We start from the raw sequence: 27,306 nt of genomic DNA on the forward strand, positions 1-27,306 counted from the left end.
TTTGTTTTTTCGCTGCTTTTATCTGATGACACACTACGGTTTCACAGAGCAGCCATGAACAGGAAGGGCAGCATGAGGTCTGTGGTGTCACACAGTTCAGCTTCCGGAGTCTTCATCAGTTAGCTACAAGCACCTCCTGTTTAAAGCAGAGCCTCCTGATGGTGTGTTTCAGAATTAGTGCTGCAGTGTGGTGGGAAGAACACGGGTTGGAGCTTGGAGACCTAGTGAACTACTCCAGCCCTTTACAGATCGGCTGCAAGAACTCTTTACCTAAAAACTTGGTGAGAGGCCAGGCGTGGTGGCTCACGTGTGTAGTCCCAGCACTTTGGGAGGCCAAGGTGGGTGGATTACTTGAGGTCAGGAGTTTGAGACCAGCCTTGCTGACATGGCGAAACCCCGTCTCTACTAAAAATGCAAAAATTAGCCGGGCGTGATGGCAGGCACCTGTAATCCCAGCTACTTGGGAGACTGAGGCAAGAGAATTTCTGGAACCTGGGTGGCGGAGGTTGCAGTGAGCCGAGATTGCACCACTGCACTCCAGCACTCCAGCCTGGGTAACCAAAAACCAAAATAATAAATAAATTAATAAAAACTTGGGTGAGTCCAACAGAATCCTTCTTCTTTTTTTGAGGCTGGAGTGCAATGGCATGATCTCAGTTTACTGCAACCTCTGCCTCCTGGGCTCAGGCCATCCTCCTGCCTCAGCCTCCCAAGTAGCTGAGACTACAGGCATGTGTGCGCTACCATGCCTGGCTAATTTTTGTATTTTCTTTTCATAGAGACAGGGTTTCACTATGTTGCCCAGGCAGGTCTCAAATTCCTGAGCTCGAGTGATCCTCACAAAGTGCTGGAATTATAGGCGTGAGCCACCGTGCCTGGCCGGGATCCTGATTTTTTACCCCTGCCTGAATCAACTCCTCTTCCCTGTTGACTAGTATTAGTTCACATAAATCCTCTTCAGCCTGGAGTCTGTGTTAGTCTGCTAGGGCTGCCATAACAAAATACCACTGGCAGAGTGGATTAAACAACAGATTGTTTTGTTTCACAGTTCTGGAAGCCAGAAGTCCAATATCAACGTGTCGGCAGGGTTGGTTCTTCTGAGGCCTCGCTGCCTGGCTTGGAGATGGTGTCTTCTCCCTGGGTCCTCACAGGATCATCCCTCTGGGTGTATCTGTATCCAGATTTCTTCTTCTTCTTCTTTTTTTTTTTTGAGATGGAGTCTCACTTTGTTGCCCAGGCTGGAGTGCAGTAGCACGATCTTGGCTCACTGCAACCTTCACCTCCCAGATTCAAGCGATTCTTCTGCCTCAGCCTCCAAAGTAGCTGGGATTACAGGTGCCTGCCACCACAGCCAGCTAATTTTTGTATTTTTAGTAGAGATGTGGTTTCACCATGTTGGCCAGGCTGGTCTCGAACTCCTGACCTTAAGTGATCCGCCCGCCTCGGCCTCCCAAAGTGCTGGGATTACAGGCGTGAGCCACCACGCCTGGCCCAGATTTCCTCTTCTTACAAGGACACCAGTCAGACTGCATTAGGGCTCACCCTAACTGCTTCATTCTACTTTGATTACCTATTTAAAAATCCTGTCTCCGGCCGGGTATGGTGGCTCATGCTTGTAATCCCTTGGCCTATGGGAGGCCAAGATGGGTGGATCACTTGAGGTCAGGAGTTCAAGACCAGCCTGGCCAACATGGTGAAATCCTGTTTCTATTGAAAATATAAAAACGAGCTGGGTATGGTGGCGCATGCCTGTAATCCCAGCTACTCAGGAGGCTGAGGCAGGAGAATCACTTGAACCCAGAAGGTGGAGGATGCAATGAACCAAGATGGCACTGCTGTTCTCTAGCCTGGGCAACAGAGTGAGACTCTGTCTCAAAAAAAAGAAAGAAAAGAAAAAGAAAAAGAACCTGTCTCTAAATACAGTCCCAGTCTCAGGTGGAGGTCAGGAAGGGCTTTGCCATAGGAGTTTGAGAGGGATACAGTTCAGCCATGACAGAATGTGATGAGGAGGTGCAGGCTGTCTCTCCACCTGTCACCTGTTTACAAAGCTGATCTCTGGTAGAAGCCCAGATGGTCTTTTATCACACACCTTGTGGAGGAACAGAGGAAGTGTGATTTCTTTAGTCTTGTTCTTGATCCAGGAGCCCAGTGAGGAGCTTCGACTTTGGGGTGTGTGTGCGTGTGTGTGTGTGTGTGTGTGTGTGGTGATACAGTTAAGCACCCAGAACTGCTGAGTCAGGAAAGCGTTCCAGGTGATTTGTGCCCCCTCCACCGCATGCCAAGAGCTCTGCACCAGCTTATTTATGGGGCACTGCATTGTGGGGGTATCCTACATGTCTGCTGGGGGTGGCCCTTTCAGCCTTCCTCCCCCACTGGAGCCTTGGTGCTGCTGCCACAGTTGACTCTGCACTCCTTATCCCTGCTGGCCAGACCCTGCATGCTCAGTGCCTAGAACAAGGCTACGAGCCCTGCCAGCCTCCTTGTGTATGAGCTGCATCTTTCAGCCTGCAGGGTGCCTGGTTTCATCTCAGCATCTCACTTGTAGGGCATCCTCTGTTAGAGCGTGACACCTAAATTTGGGGCTATGATTTTAGCCATTTTCTAGCAACCTTTGTTCTGATGACCTCTGTGGCTATGACCGTGAGGGTGGAGGTGGCCAGGTAAGTGCAGGGCCAGGGTCATCGTGGAATGATAAGGGCCTGAATTGCCTTCTGAGAAGACACCAAATGGAAAGGATGCTGTTGATGGGAATTCTTGACTGGCTTCACGTTAAACTAGATCCTGTACCTCTGCAGGAGAGGGGCCAGCCCAGCATCCATTTGTCTCTGGCAGTGTCCTGATGCTCTTGGCACCAGTATTTAGAAGATGCAGATCCAACTCCCGTTTTTTTCCCTCCCCTCCCCTTTCTTTTCTTTTTTGAGACAGAGTCTCACTCTGTCACCCAGGCTGGAGTGCAGTGACCCAATCTTGGCTCACTACAACCTCCACCTCCCAGGTTCAAGTGATTCTCCTGCCCCAGGCTCCTGAGTAGCTGGGATCACAGGCATGCGCCACCACACCTGGCTAATTTTTTTTGTATTTTTTGTAGAGACAGGGTTTCGCCAGACTGGTCTTGAACTCCTGACCTCAGGTGATCCGCCTGCCTCGACCTCCCAAAGTGCTGGGATTACAGGCGTGAGCCACCGTGCCCAGTCCTAACTCCCATTTCTAAGGTGTGGCAAAGGCTGCTGAATCCTTTGCTGTCGTTCTGTTGTGGGTGCCATGCTGGGGCTCTGATGATGTTGCAGCTTCACCCCTTACCCCAGGTTATCTGAAGGAGCTGAGGGTGTTCAAGAGCACTGCTACCCCAGGCTTCACAGCAGCCTCAGTGAGGGCCACTCACACTGTAAGATCGAGATGGTCTTTTTGAAAAGAGCATTTCTCTTTGCTGAAAAGAGTCTGATATGCTTTTCGATAATTTGTAGCCAGGATAGTCTATTTACTTTGTGTTTGAGTGAAGGAATATTTTTGCCATTCTTCCTTTCAGGTCTGCTGTGGGGCTGGAGGTAGTCCAGATTTAGAGATGAATTATTCCTCCAGTGCTGTGATTTGAATGGCTCTTCCAAAGTCCATGCTGAAACTTAACCCCAATTTGACAATATTGGGGTTGGGGGGGCCTTTAAAAGGTGACCAGACCATGAGGGCTCTGTTCTCATAAATGAGTTACTCGACGTATGGATTAATGCATTGATAGGTTATCCTGGGTGAGGAACTGGTAGCTAAATAAGAAGAGGAAGAGAGGCCTGAGCTAGCATTAGCATGCTCGGCCTCCTTGCCATGTGATATCCCACACCACTTCGGGACTCTGCAGAGAGTCTCCACCAGCAAGAAGGCCCTCACCAGATGCAGCCCCTTGAGCTTGGCCTCTGTAACTGTAAAAAGTAAATTTATTTTCTTTATAAATGACCCAGTTTCAGGTATTCTGTTATAAGCAACAGAAAATAGACTAAAATATCCAGCAATCTAACAGAATTGAGTTTATAGATAAGGGAAAGGGTTTGTGACCCACCTACACTATATAAATTCTCCCAAGAAAGTTAGGAGCTAGAAACTCCATGTCACGCCTTGGTGTGGAAGGTGCTGTGGACTGAATTGTGTTTCTCCTTCTCCCCTCAAACTCATATGCTGAAGTCTTAACCCCAGTGTAGCTGTATATCAAGGTAGGATCTTTGGCAGATGGTTTAGGTTAAATGAGGTCATGAGGATGAGACCCTAATTTAATAGGACTGTGGCCTTATAAGAATAGGAGGAGGGCAGGCACAGTGGCTCACACTTGTACTCTCAGGACTTTGGGAGGCTAAGGCAGGTGGATCACTTGAGCCCAGGAGTTTGAGACCAGCCTGGACAACATGGGGAAACCCCATCTCTACAAAAACAAACGAACAAACAAAATTAGCCTGGTGTGGTAGCATGCACCTGTAGTCTCAGCTACTTGGGAGGCTGAGGTGGGAGGTTTGCTTGAGTCCAGGAGTCTCTTAAGAAAAAAAAAAAAAGGAAGAGGAAGAGACAGACTTCCTCCCACCTCCCACCATGTGAGGACACAGTGAGGAGATGGCTGTCTGCAAGCCAGGAAGAGAGCTGAAACTGCTGGCACCTTGATTGCGGACTCCCAACCTACAGAACTGGGAGAAGTAAATTTCTGTTGTTTAAGCCGCCCACTCTGTGGTATTTTGTTATGGCAGCCTGGGCCAACTAATACAGAAGGAACTAAGTTAAACTTGTATTTTTCAGAAAAAAAGCAACTGTTTGAACAGGAATACCAACATTCAAGCTTGTATTTGAGTCACATACAGGCATTCCCATTTACCTATCTTTTAAAAATAGTCTTTTCCTTTTAAATTTCTTTCCAACTTTATTGGGCATACAATAAACTGCAAGCATTTAGAAGTGTATAATTTAAAGAGTTTTGACATAACGTTTATCCCTGTGAAACCATCACCACAATCAAGACAATGAGCATGGATCTGTCACCCCCAGAAGTTTCCTCCTGTCCTTTTGTCGTCTCCCTCCCTCCCTTGTCCCCAGACAACCACTGATCTGTTTTCTGTCACCATAGATTTGTTTGCATTTTCTGAAAGTTTATATAAATGGAATCCCACAGTATGTGCCGTCTCTCTCCTTTTCTGGTCTGGCTTCTTTCACTCAGCAAAGCTACTTCGAGAGTCATTCAGGCTGTTGTGTACATCAAAGTTTCCTTCTTTTTTACTGCTGAGTAAGAGTCCATGGATATATACAATTTCTTTATCCATTTCCCATTAGTGGACATTTGGGTTGCTTCCAGTAGGTATATGTTTAATTTTTTAAGAAGCTGCCAAACTGTTTGCCAAAGTGGTTGTATCATTTTACATTCCCAGCTGCAGTGTATGAAAGCTCCAGTTCTCCCCCATCCTCTTCAACACTTGGTATGGTCAGTCTTTTTCACTTTGGTCATTTTAATGAGAGTGTAATACTCTCTTATTGTGGCTTTTGCATTTTGTACATGACAGATGATTAGAAAATCAGTAAGTGGTCATTGTAACTTTGTTTTAATTCCATAGACACATAACATAAAGATCACTGTAAGAATCTTCACTGTTTTATTGTAGGTAATAGCAAAAAATTGGGAGTGACCACCCCTGGTAGGGGAGTAGTTGTGAAGTGAGTCATGGAACGACAATATAATGCACACACAGCCATGGAACCAAGTAGACTGGTAGTTACTAACATGAAAAATGCTTATTATAAATAAGGGGGAAGAAAGGACAGGCGAACAGTTTACATATAGCCCACTCAATCTTGTGTGTGTGTGAGAGAAAGGGAGGGGGTACTGTATAGGAGTGGACAAGATCTCGAAGCCCCTTATTGTAGGACTAGTGTATTTCCAGTTTTTCACGACTCTGAATAAAGCTGTAATGAACATCTTTACGCACGTGGCTATTTTTGTTAAGATAAATTGCTAGAGGTGGAGTAGCTGGGTCAGTGGACGTACAGTGAAGCCTCTGGACACAGGGGTATGTGCTGGCCTGCCTTTGCCCCTCTCCTCTGCCTGCACAGATGCCAGAGCCACAGCCTGTCACCTGCTGTACTTTGTCATGTGTTTATCTAGCAGGACCACATTCTCTATCCCAATCTTGTCACTCTTCTGATTCCAGAATTTCTCCACTATTCCCATGTTGGGAACATTAGGATAATTTATAAAGTTAAAAAAAAACTAGAGGGGGTTATTGATATTAACCATTATAGGTAATAACAATTTAGATTATTCTGGGAAGAAGTGACATCTTTACACACTTGGGCCCTTCCATATAGAAATGTGGTAGTTTCCATCATTCATTAAAATGTACTCACTTTGCTGGCCGCGGTGGCTCATGCCTGTAATCCCAGGGCTTTGGGAGGCTGAGGCAGGCAGATCACCTGAGGTCAGGAGTTCAAGACCAGCCTGGCCAACATGGTGAAACCTCATCTTTACCAAAAATACAAAAAATTAGCTGGGTGTGGTGGCGCACACCTGTTAGTCCTAGCTACTTGGGAGGCTGAGGCAGGAGAATCACTTGAACCCAGGAGGCAGAGGTCACAGTGAGCTGAGATCAGGCCTGGGCAATAGACGGCGCTCCAGCCTGGGCAAGAGTGAAACTCGGTCTCAAAAAAAGAAAAAAAATTGTGGCTGGGCACAGTGGCTCATGCCTGTAATCCCAGCATACTGGGAGGCCGAGGCGGGGGGATCACCTGAGGTCAGGAGTTCGAGACCAGCCTGGCCAACATGGCAAAACCCCATCTCTACTAAAAATACAAAAAATAGCTGGGCATAGTGGCGTGCACCTGTAATCCCAGCTACTTGAGAGACTGAGGCATGAGAATCGCTTGAACCCATGAGGCGGAGGTTGCAATGAGCCGAGATTATGCCACTGCATTCCAGCCTGGGTTGTCAGACAGAGTGAGACTGTGTCTCAAAAAAAAAAAAAAGTATTCACTTATGTCCTTAAGAGTTCTTCTTAAATAAGACCTTCCTGTTCCTCAAGTATATTAAGTATTTTATACATGTGTTTTTGCTATTGTGAATGGGATTATTTTCCTCAGGTAGACAGGTATACCGTCAACCAATACTGATTTGTATTTTTTTCTAATATTTTGCTAGCATTTCCTGGAACAGTGTTGAATAGCAATGTTGCTATCAGTGTGTTAACCACGGTAATGTTGGCTGCTATAACAAAGAAGTCCAAAATCAATGTCCTCGATGTAATTGAAGTTTATCCTCACTCATGTATCAGTTAAGCATGTTATTCAGATGGGTGGGCAGCTCTCTTCTACACGGTCATTCCAGAAACTCAAGCTAGGACTCTGTCTTCTTTTTTTTTTTTTTGAGACAGTGTCTTGCTCTGTCAGTCAGGCTAGAGTGCAGTGGCACGATCTTGGCTCACTGCAACCTCCGTCTCCCAGGCTCAAGCAATTCTCCTGCCTCAGCCTCCCGAGTAGCTGGGATTACAGGCGTGTGCCACCACGCCCGGCTAATTTTTGTATTTTTAGTAGAGACGGGGTTTCACCATGTTGACCAGGCTGGTCATGAACTCCTGACCTCATGTGATCCACCCCCCTCAGCCTCCCAAAGTGCTGGGATTACAGGCATGAGCCACCACGCCCGGCCCAGGACTCTTGTCTTCTTGAACACGTGGCTTTCACAGTTCCTCTTTTCATTGCCATTCTGTCCCACAGGAAAAGGGAAGGACACAGAGAAGCACACATACTGAGGTTTTAACCAGCCAGGTCCTGATGGCACGTGTTATGTCCACCCATGCCTCCCAGGGAGACTGGGCAGCCATGGCCCAGCTGCAGCCCTAACTGAAGAAGAAGGGAGCCGTGATTTGGGTGGGCTGGGCCCAGTGCCTGCACTCACCTTCCATTTAATGGAAGGGTCTGTAGTGTTTCACCATCATCTCTACCCTGTGACCTCCCTCTGTTTCTTGTGTCATAAAGGATCAGTTTATTCCTTGGTTACTAACTTTAATAACTACTTATCTTTATATGGCAAGAAAGGCATGTCATTTCATTACCTGATCAACATGTAAAGTATTGAATTGCTTTTTACCAAGCATCACAGTTCTGCCTTATATATTACTCTTGTGTTTGGGGGTCATTCTTGTACTTAGGCTAGATTTTCCCAATGCCTAGGATGTGCCTGGGAAGCAAATATGTTGGAGGATAATCTAATTCCGATTTGTGGAATGCAGGAAGGAGCCCGGAATTGGAGCACCTGGGGTCATGTTCAGACTCACCATTTCTGAGATTGGGGCAGATGCACTGGTTACCCACCGATAACCATTCTGCCCTCTTCTTTCTTGCCAATAGAGAACCCCAGTTATATTTGGGGATCAGGTGGTGATGCGCTGCAGGGTGGGGGCCCCAGCAGTAAATGTTATTGTTCTAGGACTTCATCCTAAAAATCCTGCTTTCCTTGGCAGGGATTAATTTCGAGGTGGGCACATGACCTGCTCTAGCCCAATGAGATATGGCGGGAAGGCTGCAGGGTGGCTTCTGGAAAGGTTTTTTTCTCATACAAAGAGACAAAAAGGAACACACACTGCCACGACAGGGAAAGATAGGTTAAGAGTCAATTCACTGGCAGGGCGTGCTGGTTCACATCTATAATCCCAGCACTTGGCTGAGGCGGGAGGACAGCTTGAGGCCAGGAGTTTGAGACCAGCCTGAGCAACATAGCCAGACCCCATCTCTACAAAAAAAGTTAAAGTTAGCCAGGTGTGACGGTGTGTACCTGTGGTCCCAGCTAGTTGGGAGGTTGAGGCAGGAGAATTGCTTGAGCCCACAAGGTTGAGGCCACAGTGAGCCATGTTTGCACAACTGTCCTCTAGCCTGGGCAACAGAGCAAGACCTTGTCTAAAAAAGAAGAGTCAATTCATCATTGACAGCATGTAAGGCACCAGAATGCTTGGATCTTTTGGGGATGTCACTGAGCCCTTGCAGGAACCAAATGCAGAAATGAGCTCCTTTAGCCCTGGTTTCCCAGCCTTGGCATGCTGTGGCATGGCAGACATTCTGGCTGCGGGTGGGTGGTGGTCTGTGCACTGTAGGATGTTTTCTTTTGTTTAAGAGGCAGGGTCTCACTATGTTGCCCAGGCCAGAGTGCAGGAGCTGTTTACAGATGCAGTCATAGCTCACTACAGCCTCACACAATCCTCTCGCCTTCGCCTCCTGAGTAGCTGGGATCACAGGTGCGCGCCACTGTGCCCAGCTCTCTGTAGGATGCTTATTCCCATCCTGGCCTCCCTGACTTCTGTCCAGTAGATGCCAGTATCACCCCCTCCTCCACCCAAAGTTGTAACAGCCAGAAATGTTTCCACACATTGCCAAATGTCCCCTGGGGGCAAAATTTCCCCAGTTGAGAACCACTGCTGTAGACCTTTGGTTTTGTGAGGCAATACATTGCTTCATTTAAACCTGTATGGCTTGATGGTCTGTTCTTTACAGCCACACATGTCCTAGCTGAGCTCACAACCCTGGACCATCCTCAACCCGAGAGCCAGAGCCTGTTTCTTCTGCAGGCTGACGTGGACGTACTTGTCTGTTGACAGTAAAGGTATTTTGTGCATCCTTAAAAGATGCAGTGTCTTGCAGCTGTTGGAGTGGTTTCTGGCTGGGAGCAGGACGCCTACAGAGCAGTTGCAGAGGACCTTCTGTCTCCCCATGGCGGAGGCACCATTCCAACTACGGAACCTTTGTTGTGTTTTGGAGGGGGTCGTGTGCTTCCAGCACCTGCCGCCTCTGCCAGCCACAGCACTCTGCCTCTTTGTTCTGAGTGCCCGGGACAGAGTTGTATAGCTGCTGCCTTTTGGAGAGAGGAGTCAGCTTTGGGCTTGAATGTATCTGGAGATAGCCCAGCTTTCATGCCATCTTCACATTTCCTGTGTACATGGTTTCTTTTTTTTTTTTTTTTAGATGGCGTCTCACTCTGTCGCCCAGGCTGGAGTGCAGTGGTGCAGTCTCAACTCACTGCAACCTCTGCCTCCCAGGTTCAAGCTATTCTCCTGCCTCAGCTTCCCGAGTAGCTGGGACTACAGGTGCGTGCCACCACGCCTGGTTAATTTTTGTTTTTTGCTTTTTCTATTTTATCTTTTTTTGAGACAGAGTCATACTCTGTCGTCCAGGCTGGAGTGCAGTGGCGTGATCTTGGCTCACTGCAACCTCCGGCTCCCAGGTTCAAGTGATTCTCCTGCCTCAGCCTCCCAAGTAGCTGGGATTACAGATGTGCACCACCACACCTGGCTAATTTTTGTATTTTTATTAGAGATGGGATTTCACCATGTTGGTCAGGCTGGTCTCAAACTCCCGACCTCAGGTGATCCACCTGCCTTGGTCTCCCAGAGTGCTGCGATTACAGGTGTGAGCCACCACGCCCGGCCTAATTTTTGTATTTTTAGTAGAGGCGGGTTTCGCTATGTTGCCCAGGCTGGTCTTGAACTCCTGACCTCAAGTGATCCACCCACCTCGGCCTCCCAGAGTGCTGGGATCATAGGCATGAGCCACCGTGCCCAGCCCCTGTATACACTGTTGCGGCCCCTTCCCACCCAGCTGCCGAGAGATGGTTCTTTCACAGGTCTCCTGCTTCCGTGCAGGTAGCTTATTCCAGGGACAGGGAAGCAGGAGGAAAAAGCACTAGGAGGAAGACCGCAGACTGGATTCAGAACAGGCTATCGTGGAGAGCTGTGTGCTTCGCTGCCGGCCTGAGGCTCTGCGTTCCCCTCCTTGGTGCTCAGGCTGCCCGGCATACGCAGCAAGTGCTGACCCAGCAGGCAGCCCACGTGCGCTTCAGGTGTGGGAGGCTCTGCGGGCTGCGGGGAACAGGATCGCTGTGGGAGGTTGAGCCTGGAGCTCTGAACAGCCACTCTGCGCCCAATCTGCTGTAGCGCTGAGGGTCAGGAAGGCCTCTGGGAGTTCTCTAGAAGAAGGCGCTGGGGAGGAGGAGTTAACATCTCATTTCATTAGAGCATGCCAGTTCTGTTCTGGGTGTGACTTTTGAAGAATATTGAGTTCTACCAGTAGAACTTTGGGGACTGAAACCTGTTGAGGATTTGTAGTAAGACTGTGTCCCGAAGGCGTTCTTCCTTTTCTTCTGTCTCTGACTTTAACAAGCAGGTTTCCCTATAAGCTTTGGTGTTTGTTAAACAGATCATTTGTATGTGCAATAAAATATGTTTAAAAATTAGAAAAATAACATCTCCCGATACTATGTTATTTTATATTTTTAATGGTATGATTACTTTTATTTGATTTTCTGGTTTGTGATGATAAATGCATAAGAATGGCAGTGTTCTCTGCATCATGTACATTTCAAGGTGTAGACTGTGTTCTGAAGGGAGAGTCGGCCCCACATCCTTACCTTCTTTTCCTGTGGTTTATTGCAGAACTCAGCTGCCTTCACCTCCTCCTGCCATTTTTCATCACTTCTGAGACTGTTAGCTCTTAGACCCCCCAAATAGAACAGTTTCCTTTGTGAGCCCCTATTATATGCTTGCCACCATTGTTTTTCAAACCTAGGATCCTCCAAACTCAGTGCCACTCAGCCTCTTCTACTGATGAAGAAACTGGAGTTCAAAGGCTTGCTTGCAGCTTCCCAGGTGTATGACGAGTATTTCAGGTCGGCCAGCGCCTTGTGAAGCCCACACTCCAGGGTTGAGGGCAACATGTAACAATGTCAGGGAAGGCTGAGGAAGTGCTGTGCCATCGCAAAAGAATAAAATATAAGTCTAGAAATGCGGAAGGTACTGTACAGCATCACAGCTACCTAAACTTCCTCTATGGGAAGACAGGGAAAGTAGGCGTTAGTGGCAAGACAGAGTGGCTTTGAGTCTAAGTGTCATAATAAACTCTGACGGGGAAAAATAAGGGGCAGCATTTGCACATGTGTGCTGCAGATTACCCGCTGTGAGGCAGCGGTGAGTTTGTTGCCTTGTGTTTTAAAAAGTAATTTTCTGGGCCGGGCGTGGTGGCTCACACCTGTAATCCCAGCACTTTGGGTGGCCAAGGCAGGTGGATCACTTGAGGTCAGGAGTTTGAGACCAGCCTGGCCAACGTGGTGAAACCTTGTTTCTACTAAAAATACAAAAATTAGCTGGGCGTGGTGGCGGGCGCCTGTAATCCCAGCTACTTGGGAGGCTGAGGCATGAGAATTTCTTGAACCCAGGAGGCAGAGGTTGCAGTGAGCTAAGATTGCGCCACTGCACTCCAGCCTGGGCAACAGAACGAGACTTCGTCTCACAAAAAAAAAAAGAAGTAATTTTCTGATCTAGCATGTGGATTCTTGAGTCATCTTAACTAAGAGATTGGGAGCAGCCTGTGTGGCTGACAGGCCCTATTGCTCATGACTTGTGTATGTGTACACGTGTGGGATGTGTGTATGCATGTGTGTATATGTATGCAGTGTGTATGTGTGGAGTGTGTGCATGTGTGTACATGTATGCATGTGTAGAGGGTGTGTGTGTGTATATGTATGGGAAGTATGTATGTATGTATTTGTGTGCCTGCATGTGTGGACATGTGTACGCATATCCAGTGTTAACCCTGACACACTGGGGAAGTGGAAATAGAATGAATACCCTGTATGTTTCAGCTCCTTTTTGAGTTTATCCTGCACGACCAGCTTATGAGTAGGTGATGGTATATTTTTGGTCACCTACAGCACTTCCTCAGCCTCCCCTGACATGTCTACATGTTCCACCCCCACCCCCGGAGTGTGGGCTTTGCAGGGCGCTGGCGGACCTGAAATACTCTGCACACCTGGGAAGCTGCAGGCAGACCTCTGAGCTCCAGCTCGTTCTTCAGTAAAAGGGGCTGAATGGTGCTGACTTTGGAGGATTCCAGGTTTCAGAAATAATGGGTGAGAAAGCAGAGCCTCAGAGCTATCAGGTGACTTGTGACAGGCTTGCTCAGATGAGAGCTGGAGCCCGGACTCGGACCCAGGCCTGCCACTCAGAGCCTGGCCTCTGTCACAGTTCCCCTCCCATTGACTTTCGGGGCCCGTCTTAGGAGCTCGACCGGCGGCCAGCAAAACATTCCCTCCACAGCAGAGCCACCTCTGGGTAAACTGATAAAAATGAGCTTCTGAACCTGCCAAGGTGCCAGGGCTCAGGCCTTGGCTTCAGCAATGTCATTCCCCCAGCAGACGGTGAGTGGGTGCCAGCCACAGTCAAGCACCCACTGTGCTCTTCCCCCAAGGCCTGGCCTGGGTTAGCTGGCTGTCCTGCCCCTCCCCTCCCCTCCCTTCCCCTCCTCTCCCCTCCCTTCCCGGGGGAGGGTGCTTGACTGTGGCCAGCGCCCATTCATCGTCTGTGGGGAGAATGACATTGCTGAAGCCAAGGCCTGGCTTTCGACAAGAGTTTTGCTCTGTTGCCCAGGCTGGAGTGCAGTGGCACCATCTCAGCTCACTGCAACCTCCGCCTCCCAGGTTCAAGTGATTCTCCTGCCTGAGCCTCCTGAGTAGCTAGGATTACAGGAGACCACTACCACATCTGGCTAATTTTTGTTTTTTTTTAGTAGAGATGGGGTTTCACTATGTTGGCTAGGCTGGTCTTGAACTCCCAACCTCAGGTGATCCGCCTTCCTTTGCCTCCCAAAGTGCTGGGATTATAGGCATAAGCCACTGTGCCCAGCCTATTTATTTTATTTTTTATTTTATTTTTGAGACAGGGTCTCACTTTGTTGCCCAGGCTGGAGTGCAGAGGTGCGATCGTAGCTCGCCCACAGCCTTGACCTCCTAGTTCCAAGTGATCCTCCTGCCTCAGCCTCCCAAGTAGCTGGGACTACAGGTGCACATCACATGCCCAGCTAATTTTTGTATTTTTTATAGAGACAGGGTTTTGCCATGTTGCTGGTCTTGAACTCCTGGGCTGAAGCAATTCACCTGCCTCGGCCTCCCAAAGTGCTGGGATTACAGGTGTAAGCCACTGCGCCTGGCCTGCTTCTTTTTTTTCTGAGCATGCTTTTAAAATCTCTAGTAGGTGATACACCCAGCCTTCAGTTCTACTCCTACTCAAGCAGCATGGTAATTTTAAGAAAATTTTAAAAGGAAAAAAAAAGCATATTCTAATGTGTCTTCTTACCTGATGCAGAAGATGGAGTTAGCCTGAGTGACCCATTCCTTGCTAGCAGCTTTATTGGAAGCTGGGATTTGGGTATGTGGATAACTCATGCTGAGAGCTGATTAATCACGTGCATGGCCCTGTTAGGGTTCAACTGACTTAGGTAAATACAACACAATGATATTTCAGCTGTGACCTTTCAGAGAAGGAAGCTCCTTGTTTACATAGGAGTTATAGCAGCACTGCTCTCCCAGTTCAACAAAAACTGGTCTCACTGGTTACCTGTGGAACCCCGACTCCCTGAGATGGCTCTCGGCAGCCTTGCCTTCTGCCTGTTTCTCCAGCTTATCTCTTGCCACCGCCACTCCCTCAAGCTGGCAAAGCAACCGGGTCATGCCATTTCAGTCAAGGTGGAATGCCACACCATGAGCACTTGGGAAGTCCTGGCCAAGTGCTGGTCTGTTCCATTTTCGTCCTGTCTAAAGGGCACTAACAGTGCCCCCTGGCAGGTGCTTCACTGAGCGTTTGAGCCTGTGTCACCTGGCCTCCCTGACTCACTGTGCCACTGTGCAGCTTCCTTTCAGTGGCATGAAAAGAACACCCTTACAAAGATGCCTGACTTCCAGAAGGAAGACATGTCAGTGTTTCACCGTGAAAAATGCAACTCCTCGTTTGCTTGGTGGGAGACGTGCTTTTAAATTGGCTGACTTACATTTCTTTCTAGACAAAGACATCTGGCATTCTGAAGTCAGCATTGTACTCTGTGCAAAAGTAGGGTGACTGTCTCTTCTAGGAACTTTTAAAGGAAACATTTAACATTTTTATTTTACGGGCTAAATAAAGCGTTTTAAAAATGAAACATAATTCTGTCCACTCCCCACCCATATGGTTAAATTACTCCTTTTTTAAAGCATTTTAAATTGTGGTAAAATACATATAAACAAATTGTGGTAAAATACATATAACATAAAATTTACCATCTTAACCATTTTTAAGCATATTAACTTGTGTCCATGTGTAGCCTTTTGGAATTTTTCATCGTGTTCCCTACACAGAATGCTTCTAAATCATGCCGTGTCCTGGGGACTGTCATACTGTCAGGTTGTGTAAAGTCAAAGGAAACAAAGATATTTTCTTGGGTGGAGCAACAGTGACACTTCCTGATTTCTATTAAGCTTGGATGTAGTTTGAATCTTTTTTTTTCAAACATACTTTATACTTAACATTTTAGTATTTTCTTTTAAGGTCAGCCTACTGAGCCTATGCATATAATGAGGTCAAAAATGTTACAATTATGTCCTAATTATAGCTCAAGGAATGCTTTTAGAACAGTGTAGTTCCTGAGTGAAATAAATAAGAAAGTTTAATTTCCTGTTTAATCAGTTTCTCCTTTTTAAATTTTTTTAGCACTTTAAAAAGTGATTTTGAAGGCTGGGTGCAGTGGCTTACACCTGTAATCCCAGCACTTTGGGAGGCCAAGACGGTGGATCACAAGGTCAGGAGTTCGAGACCGGCCTGGCCAATATGGTGAAACCCCGTAGCTGGGCGTGCTGGTGCACGCCTGTAGTCCCAGCTACTCTGGAGGCTGAGGCAGCAGAATCGCTAGAACCCGGGAGGTGGAGGTTGCAGTGAGCTGAGATCACACCACTACACTCCAGCCTGGGTGACAGAGCGAGACTCTGTCTCAAAAAAAAATGGGATTTTGGGTTAGGCACAGTGGCTCACGCCTGTAATCCCAGCACTTTGGGAGGCTGAGACAGGTGGATCACGAGGTCAGGAGTTTGAGACCAGCCTGACCAGTATGGTGAAACCCTGTCTCTACTAAAAAATACAAAAGTTAGCTGGGCGTGGTGGCATGCACCTGTAGTCCCAGCTACCTGGGAGACTGAGGCAGGAGAATCGCTGGAACCTGGGAAGTGGAGGTTGCAGTGAGCCAAGATCACACTACTGCACTCCAACCTGGGTGACAGAGCGATACTCCGTCTCAAAAAAAAAAAAAAAAAATGATTTTCAGCTGGGCACAGTGGCTTACACCTGTAATCCCAGCACTTTGGGAGGCTGAGGCAGGCAGATTGCCTGAGGTCAGGAATTCGAGACCAGCCTGGCCAAAATGGTGAAACCCCGTCTCTAATAAAAATACAAAAAATAAAAATTAGCCAGGCATGGTGGCACATGCCTGTAATCTCAGCCACTCAGGAGGCTGAGGCAGGAGAATCACTTGAACCCAGGAGGCGGAGGTTGCAGTGAGCCGAGATTGCACCACTGCACTCCAGTGTTGGGGGACAGAGTGAGACTCTGTCTCTAAATAAATAAATTAATTAAATTAAAAGTGATTTTGAAAACATGGCCATTTTTCCTGGCCAGTTCATCTCTTTCTTTTTTTTTTCTTTTCGAGATGGAGTCTCGCTCTCTCACTCAGGCTGGAGTGCAGTGGCGCAATCTCAGCTCACTGCAACCTCTGCCTCCCGGGTTCAAGTGATCCTCCCACCTCAGTCTCCCAAGTATCTGGGATTACAGGCCTGTGCTACTACGCCTGGCTAATTTTTGTATTTTTAGTAGGGACAGGGTTTCGCCATGTTGCCCAGGCTGATATCAAACTCCTGACCTCAAGCGATCTACCTGCCTCGGCCTCCTAAAGTGTGGGATTACAGGCGTGAGCCATTGTGCCCCACCTCAGTTCATCTATTTCTCTGTGATATTTATTCTATAGTTGCAGAAGAATATTTCTCATATGATACGTATATTAAGCTTACTGGCCAGCCAGTTTGGGTTTCTGGATAGTGAAACTGTCCTGGAAGTGTTTGCTGAGCTTTTCTTGCTGGAGAAGATTCTTGGCAAAGCCTGGATGGAGGATGGAGATGAGAAAGGTAGTGTGAGGGTGGCACACCTGTTTTGTGCTAATTCCAGTCTTGGCAGCCCTGGACCTGCCGGGAGAGGGATGACAGTGACATGTGGCCCAGTTTTTGCTCAGAGAAGGAAAAGTCACCAAGACCGACCATGAGGGCAGGAGCTCTTGCTTCTCCTCCTAGATGAGAGTTAGAAGGAATTTGAGAGCAAGGCTTCTTTCTTGGGATCCAAATACTTCTTACCTTGGAGTTTTCCTAGCCGTGGCTAGTGGGTCATAATGTCAGCGACATTGCCAAATGGGAGCGGAAGAGTGTCGTTGGGGGAAGGGTGAAGACGCTGTCAGAGAATAAGACATACCCCACTAGAACTTTAAAAAACAAGTCAGAAAAAAAAAAAAACAAAAAACAGAAAAAAACCCACATACCCACACATACACCCTGAAGAGGGAATCAGGAGTTTGCAAGCCCTAGAAGGTAGTTATTGTGGTAATTAAAGATTGAAAGCTCACTCTCAAGAGAGCTGCACCAAATCCCTGGGCTGCCTCAGGGTTTGCTGAAATGAGTCCCACTCTTCTCTGGTCAGTTCAGTCCAGGAGGGGCTGGCGTGCAAGTGTCACTCAAGAATTCATGGCTAGGCTGGGCGAGGTGGCTCACGCCTGTAATCCCAACACTTTGGGAGGCCAAGGCAGGTGAATCACTTGAGGTCAGGAGTTCGAGACCAATCTGGCCAACATAGTGAAACCTCGTCTCTACTAAAAATACAAAAATTAGCCGGGCATGGTGGCACGTGCCTGTAATCCTGGCTACTTGGGAGGCGGAGGCAGGAGAATTGCTTGAACCCGGAAGGCGGAGGTTGCAGTGAGCCGAGATCACACCACTGCACTCCAGCCTGGCAACAGAGTAAGACTCTGTCTCAAAAAAAAAAAAAAAGTTTATGGCTCTTACAGCCTTAGCCAGCAAGAGCAATTGCCATGAAACAGCATTATTTCTTTTCTCTTTATGCTATTGTGGTAAAATACACATGGCCTAAAGTTGACCATTCTAACCATTTTTAAGGGCACAGTTCAGTGGTATTAAGTACATTCATATTGTGTATCCTGCCATCCATCTCCAGAACCTTTTCATCCTCCCAAACAGAAACTTCCAGATGGAGTCCTACCGAATTGCCCAGGCTAGTCTCAAACTCCTTAGGATAACTTTCATTCTTGGCTGGGCATGGTGGCTCATGCCTATAATCTCAGCACTTTGAGAGGCTGAGGTGGGTGGATTGCTTAAGCTCAGGAGTTTGAGACTAGCCTGGGCAACATGGCGAAACCCCATCTCTACAAAAAATATAGAAATCAGCCAGGCGTGGTGGTATACGCCTGTAGTTCCAGCTACTCGAGAAGCTGAGGAGGGAGAATTGCCTGGGCTTGGGAGATTGAGGCTGCAGTGAGCCAAGATCACACCACTGCACTCCACTGTGGGTGACAGGGCAAGACACTGTCAAAAAAAAAAAACTACCAAAAACTAATTTTCATTCTTTTTTTTTTTTTTTGAGACAAGAGTCGCCCAGGCTGGAGTACAGTGGCATGATCACAGCTCACTGCAGCCTCAACCTCCTGGGCTCTGGTGATCCTCCCACCTCAGCCTCCCAGGTAGCTAGGACCATAGCCATGTGCCACCACACCCAGCTAATTTCTTTGTATTTTTTTAGTAGAGGCCGGTTTTTGCCATGTTGCCCAGGCTGGTCTCCAATTCCTAGGCTCAAGTGATCTGTCCTTCTTGGCCTCTCAGAGTGCTGGGATTACAGGTGTGAGCCACTATGCCCAGCCACTTTCATTCTTTTTTTTTTTTGAAATGGAGTCTCACTCTGTTGCCCAGGCTGGAGTGCAGTGGCACGATCTCGGCTCACTGCAAGCTCCACCTCCTGGGTTCACACCATTCTCCTGCCTCAGCCTCCCGAGTAGCTGGGACTACAGGCGCCCGCCACCACGCCCGGCTAATTTTTTGTATTTTTTTAGTGGAGATGGGGTTTCACTGTGTTAGCCAGGATGGTCTTGATCTCCTGACCTCTGATCTGCCCACCTTGGCCTCCCAAAGTGCTGGGATTACAGGCATGAGCCACCATGCCCGGCCCCACTTTCATTCTTTAGAACAAGGAAATTCATACTGTTTTATCTAAGAAAGAAGCTTTCCTAAGTCCTGTACTTGGACGAGGGCACCGGTGTTGTCTTTGGGTACAGGGCATTAGCAATTGTAAAGAACAGTGTTGAAGGGGTGAATAAGTAATATCTTTTCCTCATCCATTGCGAGGTTCATGGCTGAGACCCCTATAACGAAAGAGAGATTAACGAGAGAAAAGCATGCAAATTAAGTTTTACATGGCATGAGAGCCTTCAGAAATGAAGACTTGGAGAAACAGGGATTCCAATCTGTGTCTCTGTGCTTGGGTTTGATGAAGTGTGACAGTCGCGTAGAATGACTGGATGCGGGCTGTGATGATTCAGGAATACCCCGGGGGGAATTTAGCAAGGCCTGTTTGTTCAGGTTCTTCTTGGTGCCTCTGGGAGACATTCCTTCCCTCTGGGTATAGGGCAGGACGCCTGTCACAGGGCGTTCAGGGGAGAAGGGAGGGAGATCTTGATCTCCCTAGGCTTTATGAGCTGCCTAGGCTTTATGAGCTGCCACAGGGAGGAAGGTGAGAGTATCCTTCCTGCTTCTGCTGTTTTCTCAGTTTCCCAGGTACCATATTTTGGGGTAGCATTTCCTGCACCCCATTAGTATCCACCAGAGAAGTTTGCCCTAAAAATGTGCTGTCCCTCTTGTGTCTGGTGCTGGCCTTCAGTGAGACTGAAGGGCATCACGGAAAAGTCTCGTAAGGTGGAATTGCGGGGAGCCCGAGTGGGAACCTCCATGGTGGCCTTTACCACTGATCCAAGCAACTGGTTCTCCCTTCTCCACTGGGCTACAGCTCTGAGCTTCTGCACAAAGAGTGGAGTCTCCATCTTTAAATATTCTGCTTATTTTTCAATTTGTCATTATACTAAGAGGTCATGTGTGTGGATTACTTACTTTGTGCTGGGCAGTATGCTAAATTCTTTATACATGGTAACTCTTTATGCTTGTAACTTCGTGAGGTATCACAGTCCTCATTTTTACAGATGAAACTTCAGCCCAGAAAGGTAATTTGCCCGAACAGCAAATTCTGAAACTGGAATTGGTGGCTCTGGTGCCCAAGCTTGCATATTTAGACCAGGCATCAGTAATAGCCTCAGTTTTGTTTATTGCTTTGTTAAGCCTTAGTTTTGAAGCACTTGTTAAGTGCGAGGCTCCATGTAGAGTGTATAAACACTCAATCTCTGTGTGACGACAGCTCCAAGGAGCAGTCCAGCAAGTTCTGTCTGGCCAAATCTAGACCTGGTTTTGATTAACTTTGTTCATGATCTCTAGATCACTCTGCTCTATGCTTGAACCTGTATGCTTGAGTCAAGCTTACCTCTCTGATGGGTGAAGAAAATGATATTTCACTGTTATATTAATTTTATTTTTCTTACCACAAAGGAAGGATATCTCTTCATTTTTCTAAGTCCTGTTGGTTCATTGCCTTTGCTTTTGCTGCATTTCTCTCTCTCTCTCTTTTTTTTTTTTTTTTTGAGACAGAGTCTCACTCTGTCACTCAGGCTGGAGTTCAGTGGCACAATCTCGACTCTCTCCAACCTCCACCTCCCAGGTTCCAGTGATTCTCCTGCCTCAGCCTCCTGAGTAGCTGGGACTGCAGGCGTGTGCCACCACGCCTGGCTAATTTTTGTATTTTTAGTAGAGACAGGGTTTCATCATGTTGGCCAGGCTGGTCTCAAACTCCTGACCTCAGGCGATCTGCCCATCTTGGCCTCCCAAAGTGCTGAGATTACAGGCGTGAGCCACTGCACCCAGCCTTCTTGCTGCATTTTTAAAGAAGACAACTGCAGCTTGTCTCTCTTGATAAGCAGTCTGAGTTTGCCTTTAGTGCACCTTTTCTTCAACAGAAATCAGTTGCCTGTCTCAGATGGGCCTTGCTCACATTATTCACATGGGCTGGGTACAGTGGCTGACACCTGTAATCCCAGCACTTTGGGAGGCCAGTGCAGGTGGATCAATTGAGCCCAGGGGTTCGAGGCCAGCCTGAGCAACATGGCAAAATCCCATCTCTACGAAAAAATACCAAAGATGCTGGGCATGATGGCTCATGCCTGTAATCCCAGCACTTTGGGAGGCCAAGGCAGGTAGATCACTTGTGGCCAGGAGTTCAAGACCATCCTGGCCAATGTGGCTCAACTTGTCTCTACTAAAAAATACAAAAATTAGCCAGGTGTGGTGGCACATGCCTGTAATCCCAGCTACTTGGGAGGCTGAGGTGGGAGAATCACTTGAACCTGGGAGGTGGAGGTTGCAGTGAGCTGAGATTGCACCACTGCACTCCAGCCTTGGTGACAGAACAAGACTCTGGCTCAAAAAAAAAAAAAAAAAAAAAATCCCCCCAAAACAAAAAAAAAATCAGCAGGGTGTGGTGGTGCACGCCTATAACCCTGGCTACTCAGGAGACTGAGGTGGGAGGATTGCTTAAGCCTGGGAGTTAGAGGTTGCAGTGAGTTGCAATCACACCACTGCATTCCAGTCTGGGTGACAGAGTGAGACCCTGTCTCAAAAAATCAAAACATGATAAACATGGTCAACATACAGTGAACAAGTTCATTCCACTTTTACTGGTTACAGCCTCAGTTCTGGGCTATGTGTCTTTTTCTATGTCTTTTTCACATTAAATGAAGTGAGGTAACACATGTAAATGAGAAAAAATAGCAATCAGTTCTATTAATTTGAAATGAGTGGTTGTGGTTCCTTGCAATTGCGTTCATATGAAAAGAGATCTATCAGTCAGGATAGGGAAAGTTATGCACAGTAACAAACAATCCTCAAATCATGGTGACTTTTACAACATGGTTTATTTCTGCCTTACTGGATCAGAAAGTAGTTTCTGCTTTCTGAAATTTCTCAGGGGCTTTATCTCAACCTGTGTTTCCATAATCTTAGAGGCAGGGAAAAGAGAAGTGATAAGCTATGAGTTGGCTTTGAAGATCTGTGCCAGAAGTGACTCCCATAATTCTATTCATCTTGTTGGCCCCAAGTATGTCACGTTGCCGTGCCTATACTCAAAAGAGCAGAAGAAAGGGATCCTGCTGTGTGCACAGACTGAGGGAACCTCTTAGGAATCCCAGATGCTCCCCATGGGAAGTACTTAACATCTTTTTTGTCCCAAATAGCAGAAGTCTTAGAGTATAATGAGCAAAAATGAGATTTGGTAGTGTTAAAAAGAGAAAACTCTGCCTTGACAAAAATAATGGTACAGGTCAAGACAGCTTTTAGCTCTCCTGCTCTTGAATCCATGGAGAAAGCTTGTTAGCCTGTGATCAGTAAGCCATGGGAGTCGTGGAAATGTTTTCTGCGGGCTGGCTGGGCATTGCTGGTGGTGAAGCTGGATGTTGGCTGCCTGACCGTTCTATGTGTTTGAAATTGCCCATGAGCAAATGTACTGTTTGCTATCCATTATCCACGTTCATTCCTTCTCTGCTGCTACCGTCAGTCTGTTTTCATCCTTTGTGACAGTGTGGAAGTTAAGTGGCCTCTCCTCTGTTCTTTTTTTTTTTTTCCTTTTTGGAACATAAGCACATTTTTTCACATTATTTTATTAGCATTCCCTTTGTTTTAAGGTATCACATTCTTCATAAATGATGTTTTAAGGGCTAGGCGCAGTGGCTCACACCCATAATCCCAGCATTTTGGGAGGCTGAGGCAGGAGGATTGCGTGAGCCCAGGAGTCTGAGACCAGTTGATCATTCTGAGCAATGTAGGGAGACCTTGTCTCTACAGAACAATCTTTTTAAATTAGCCAGGCTTGGTGGCATGCACCTGCAGTCCCAGCTATTCAGGAGGCCAAGGTGGGAGGATCACTGGAACCTGGAGGTTGAAGCTGCATGGAACCATGATCGCACACTTGCTCTCCAGCCTGTGTAACAGAGTGCAACCCTTTTTTGATGACCACTAGTTATATCTGATTTTTTTTTTTTTTTGAGATGAGATGGAGTCTCACCCTGTCGCCCAGGCTAGAGTGCAGTTGGCTCACTGCAACCTCTGCCTCCTGGGTTCAAGTGATTCTCCTGCCTTAGCCTCCTGAGTAGCTGGGATTATAGGCACGCGCCACCATGCCCGGCTAATTTTTTGTGTCTTTAGTAGAGACAGGGTTTCATCATGTTGGCCAGGTTGGTCTTGAACTCCTGACCTTGTGATCCACCCACCTCTGCCTCCCAAAGTGCCAGGATTATAGGTGTGAGCCACTGCACCTGGCCATATCTGATTTTTTTTAAAGATGTCATTTTATTGAATTTGAGAATTCACTTAGACCACAGATATCTGATGAAAAATATTCTTGTTTTCCTTGTCTTCCTTTCATGTCCTGCATAACCTGAGTGTGCTTTAGAGGTGGGATCGTAGTGTTTGCGTACAAGAGGAAAGTTGTCATGGCCCTGTGGTCATGAGGCTGAGGGCCCACGATTCTGATGTGGATGGAATGCAGCTGGCATTGCACATGTCTTAGATGCTCTTCCCAACTGCCCGCTTTGTTCTAGGCACTGTGCAGGGTGCTGGAGACAGCAGAGAAGAGTGAGATAGTCCCTGCCCTCGCACTGTAGAGGGAAGGCCTGTTCTGCCTCCCTGAGATGGGGGCACTGAGCTAAATCACACGTGAGGAAGAGTTAGCAAGGTGGCCGGAAGGGCATTTAGGCAAGGGGCAGTGAAAGGAAGGCTGGAGCCGTGCTTGGGAGACCTTTTAAGAAACGTGAACTTGGCCAGATGCAGTGGCTCACGGCTGTAATCCCAACAATTTGGGAGGCCGAGGCGGGTGGATCCCTTGAGGTCAGGAGTTCGAGACCAGTCTGGCCAACATGGTGAAACCCCATCTCTACTAAAAATACAAAAAATTAGCTGGATGTGGTGGCGTGTGCCTGTAATCCCAGCTACTCAGGAGGCTGAGGAAGGAGAATCGCTTGAACCCAGGAGGTACAGGAGGTGGAGGTTGCAGTGAGCCAAGATCATGCCATTGCACTCCGGCCTGGGCAACAGAGCAAGACTCCGTCTCAAAAAAAAAAAAAAAAGAAGCGTGAACTTTTACCCTGTAGGCCTTCAGTAAATATTTGTGTGAGCAAATGAACTACTTATGCAGATCATTCCCTGATAACATCAGACACTGTGTTATAAGATTAAGCCGGCCAGGCGCAGTGGATCACATCTGTAATTTTAGCACTTTGGGAGGCCGAGGCGGGTGGATCACAAGGTCAGGAGATTGAGACCATCCTGGCTAACGCGGTGAAACCCTTTCTCTACTAAAAATACAAAAAATTAGTCAGGCATGGTGGCGGGCACCTGTAGTCCCAGCTACTTGGGAGGCTGAGGCAGGAGAATCGCTTGAACCTGGGAGGCAGAGGTTGCAGTGAGCTGAGATTGCGCCACTGCATTCCAGCCTGGGTGACAGAGCAAGACTGCATCTCACAAAAAAAAAAAAGAAAAAAAAAGATTAAGCCATGAGGGGCCTCCCACGCACAAAGTTCTGCCCATGGTTACTCTGTGCCACGAAGGACAGCATCGATCTGTTCACACTCTCGACCTTGCTTCTCGGGTACAGCAAGCACTCTGGGATGCTTTCCCGCAGACGTGTCGTGTATCCTGCTTATGGAAGCCTAGCTTGGGACTACCATTGCTCCAGCCCAGTGGGGTGGTGCTGTTTTCCTCCTGGAGAACACGGGTTCCTCCCAGCACCATCTCCAACTGGTAGAAATGTCAGGCGTCACAGCCTGGAAGGCTTTAATCCCAATCCATATCTTCTGAGTGAGCCCCTACTCATGGCTTCCTGAGATGGAGAAGCACACGGCCCTCACCCATCACGGGCTCAGAGGTGTGACCGAGAAGCTGGCCACCTACTAAGAAAGTCCTTGTGCCTGCCTCATCTCCAGCGCTGCCAGAGCTGCTGTGGACTCTCGCCATGCAGTCCCTCTGCCCCTTTGTTGTGTATGTCTCTTTCTTACAGCCACACTGGGACATGGCTGCAGTCTCTCTGGCTTCAGCAGATCCACTCTCCATTGTAAATATCGCTGCCTTCTTCCTCATGTGTTTTTTTTGTCTTGTTTGACAGGCTCTTCAGAGTAACCTGAGGTACTCCTTGTTGCCAAGACGGCTCCTCATCAGCAAAAGATTAGCTCAGTGTTTGCACCCTGCCCTGCCCAGTGGTGTCCACTTAAAAGCTCTGGAAACCTACGAGATTATCTTTAAAATCGTGGGGACCAAATGGCTGGCCAAGGACTTGTTTCTGTACAGGTGCGATTGCTTCTCTGCTGTGTTCCTTTTTATTACCCAAGTAACCGGTATTTCAGCTCACAAGATGAGAAAATGACAAACAGGCAAAATAAGCGTAGGGCTGTGTGTGCAACAGTTTATCATAAAGCCATCACCAGGAGACGTCACTGGGCGCCTTCTGGAGTCTATCCGTCCTAACTTTGCTTTCTTTCTTTTTTTTTTTAAATTTAAGTTCTAGGGTACATATGCACAACGTGCAGGTTTGTCACACATGTATACATGTGCCATGTTGGTGTGCTGCACCCATTAACTCGTCATTTACATTAGGTGTATCTCCTAGTGCTATCCCTCCCCACTCCCCCGACCCCATGACAGGCCCCAGTGTGTGATGTTCCCCTTCCTGTGTCCAAGTGTTCTCATTGTTCAATCCCCACCTATGAGTGAGAACATGCCATGTTTGGTTTTTTGTCCTTGCGATAGTTTGCTGAGAATGATGGTTTCCAGCTTCATCCATGTCCCTACAAAGGACATGAACTCATCCTTTTTTATGGCTACATAGTATTCCATGGTGTATATGTGCCACATTTTCTTAATCCAGTCTATCATCGATGGACATTTGGGTTGGTTCCAAGTCTTTGCTATTGTGACTAGTGTTGCAATAAATATACGTGTGGATGTGTCTTTATAGCAGTTTGATTTATAATCCTTTGGGTATATACCCAGTAACGGGATGGCTGGGTCAAATGGTATTTCTAGTTCTAGATCCTTGAGGAATCGCCACACTGACTTCCACAATGGTTGAACTAGTTAACAGTCCCACCAACAGTGTGAAAGTGTTCCTATTTCTCCACATCCTCTCCAGCACCCCATTTTGACTTTGCTATAAGGGAACTTTAGCATCTGAACGTGCGGACAGCTTCATTGCTGGCTTGTTACGTAACAGTGTTTTGTGACCATCTCATGTCATACCCACACATCGAAACCAGCAGTTTAAATGGCCAGCTGTTTGCTTGTGAAAACTCCCCTCGGCTGGCTTGTCACCTGGGACTTCTGACTGGGTATCTTATTTCTGCCCCGCTCCCTCTCGTTCTTTCTCGAAGCTGCGGGTTATTTCCTCTCCTGGCACACGCGGCGGTGTCGGTGAGGCCGGTGCTGCTCACCCTGTACGAGAAGTACTTCCTCCCACTGCAGAAGCTGCTCCTGCCCAGTCTGCAGGCCTTCATCGTGGGCCTGCTGCCCGGCCTTGAAGAGGGCTCCGAGATCTCCGACAGGTGCGTGGGCGTCTTGTCCAGGCTGTGTTTACTCCACTGCTTTATAAGACGCGGGGAGGGGGCCGGGCGCAGTGGCTCACGCCTGTAATCCCAGCACTTTGGAAGGCCAAGGTGGGTGGATCACAAGGTCAGGAGATGGAGACCATCCTGGCTAACACGATGAAACCCTGCCTCTACTAAAAATAAAAAAATTTAGCCGGGCATGGTGGCGGGCGTCTGTAGTCCCAGCTACTCGGGAGGCTGAGGCAGGAGAATGGCGTGAACCTGGGAGGCGGAGCTTGCAGTGAGCCGAGATCGCACCACTGCACTCCAGCCTGGACAACAGAGACTCTGTCTCGAAAAAAAAAAAAAAGACACGGGGAAGGAAGTGCAGAGACATGGGAAGCAGCAGTAGGTGTGGAGGTCGGGTTGCTCTTTCACATTTCCTTGGTGGTTGTGATTTCAAATTCCTCCCGGGAATCTCTCTTGTCTCTTTACCAAAGGGGAAGTCCCGAGCCCGGAGAGATGAGATCCTTTAGGCGGAGAGAAATGTAGCTCATTAATAAGGGAGACCATAGTGCAGGGTTCCCATGATGTCCTGTCCCGTTACGGAGTTACCCACAGAGTCACCATGTGTGGAGGGAAGACATACCCTCTTAGGGCGCCTAGTGTGGAGGAAATGAAGGGACCCTTTCCTGGGCACTTGCAGCGTGCATTACACACATGATCACATTGTGTAATGAA

General features: G+C 47.8%; 1 protein-coding gene and 1 long non-coding RNA gene across 6 annotated transcripts in view; both read left to right on the forward strand.

Moving 5' to 3' along the window:
• DOP1B (DOP1 leucine zipper like protein B) overlaps positions 1–27,306 on the forward strand; it is a 137,451-nt gene that overhangs the window by 17,095 nt on the left and 93,050 nt on the right. For 4 of the 5 annotated variants that reach the window (XR_937581.4, XR_007067795.1, NM_001320714.2 and 1 more), the window contains exons 3-4: positions 25,152–25,333; positions 26,413–26,583. The exons of the other annotated variant lie outside the window; for it this stretch is intronic. Coding sequence is in view for 2 of the 4 variants with exons in the window: in NM_001320714.2 (NP_001307643.1) it covers positions 25,152–25,333; positions 26,413–26,583 (353 nt within the window). In the remaining 2 variants the exon portion in view is untranslated. The remainder of the gene's footprint in view (positions 1–25,151; positions 25,334–26,412; positions 26,584–27,306) is intronic. 5 annotated transcript variants of the gene reach the window in all.
• LOC124905016 (uncharacterized) lies at positions 10,046–11,239 on the forward strand. The gene is made up of 2 exons (XR_007067855.1): positions 10,046–10,088; positions 10,644–11,239. It is a non-coding gene; the product is annotated as an uncharacterized LOC124905016 (long non-coding RNA).

Source organism: Homo sapiens, chromosome 21 (assembly GCF_000001405.40).
Source record: "Homo sapiens chromosome 21, GRCh38.p14 Primary Assembly".
NCBI classification, from domain to species: domain Eukaryota; kingdom Metazoa; phylum Chordata; class Mammalia; order Primates; family Hominidae; genus Homo; species Homo sapiens.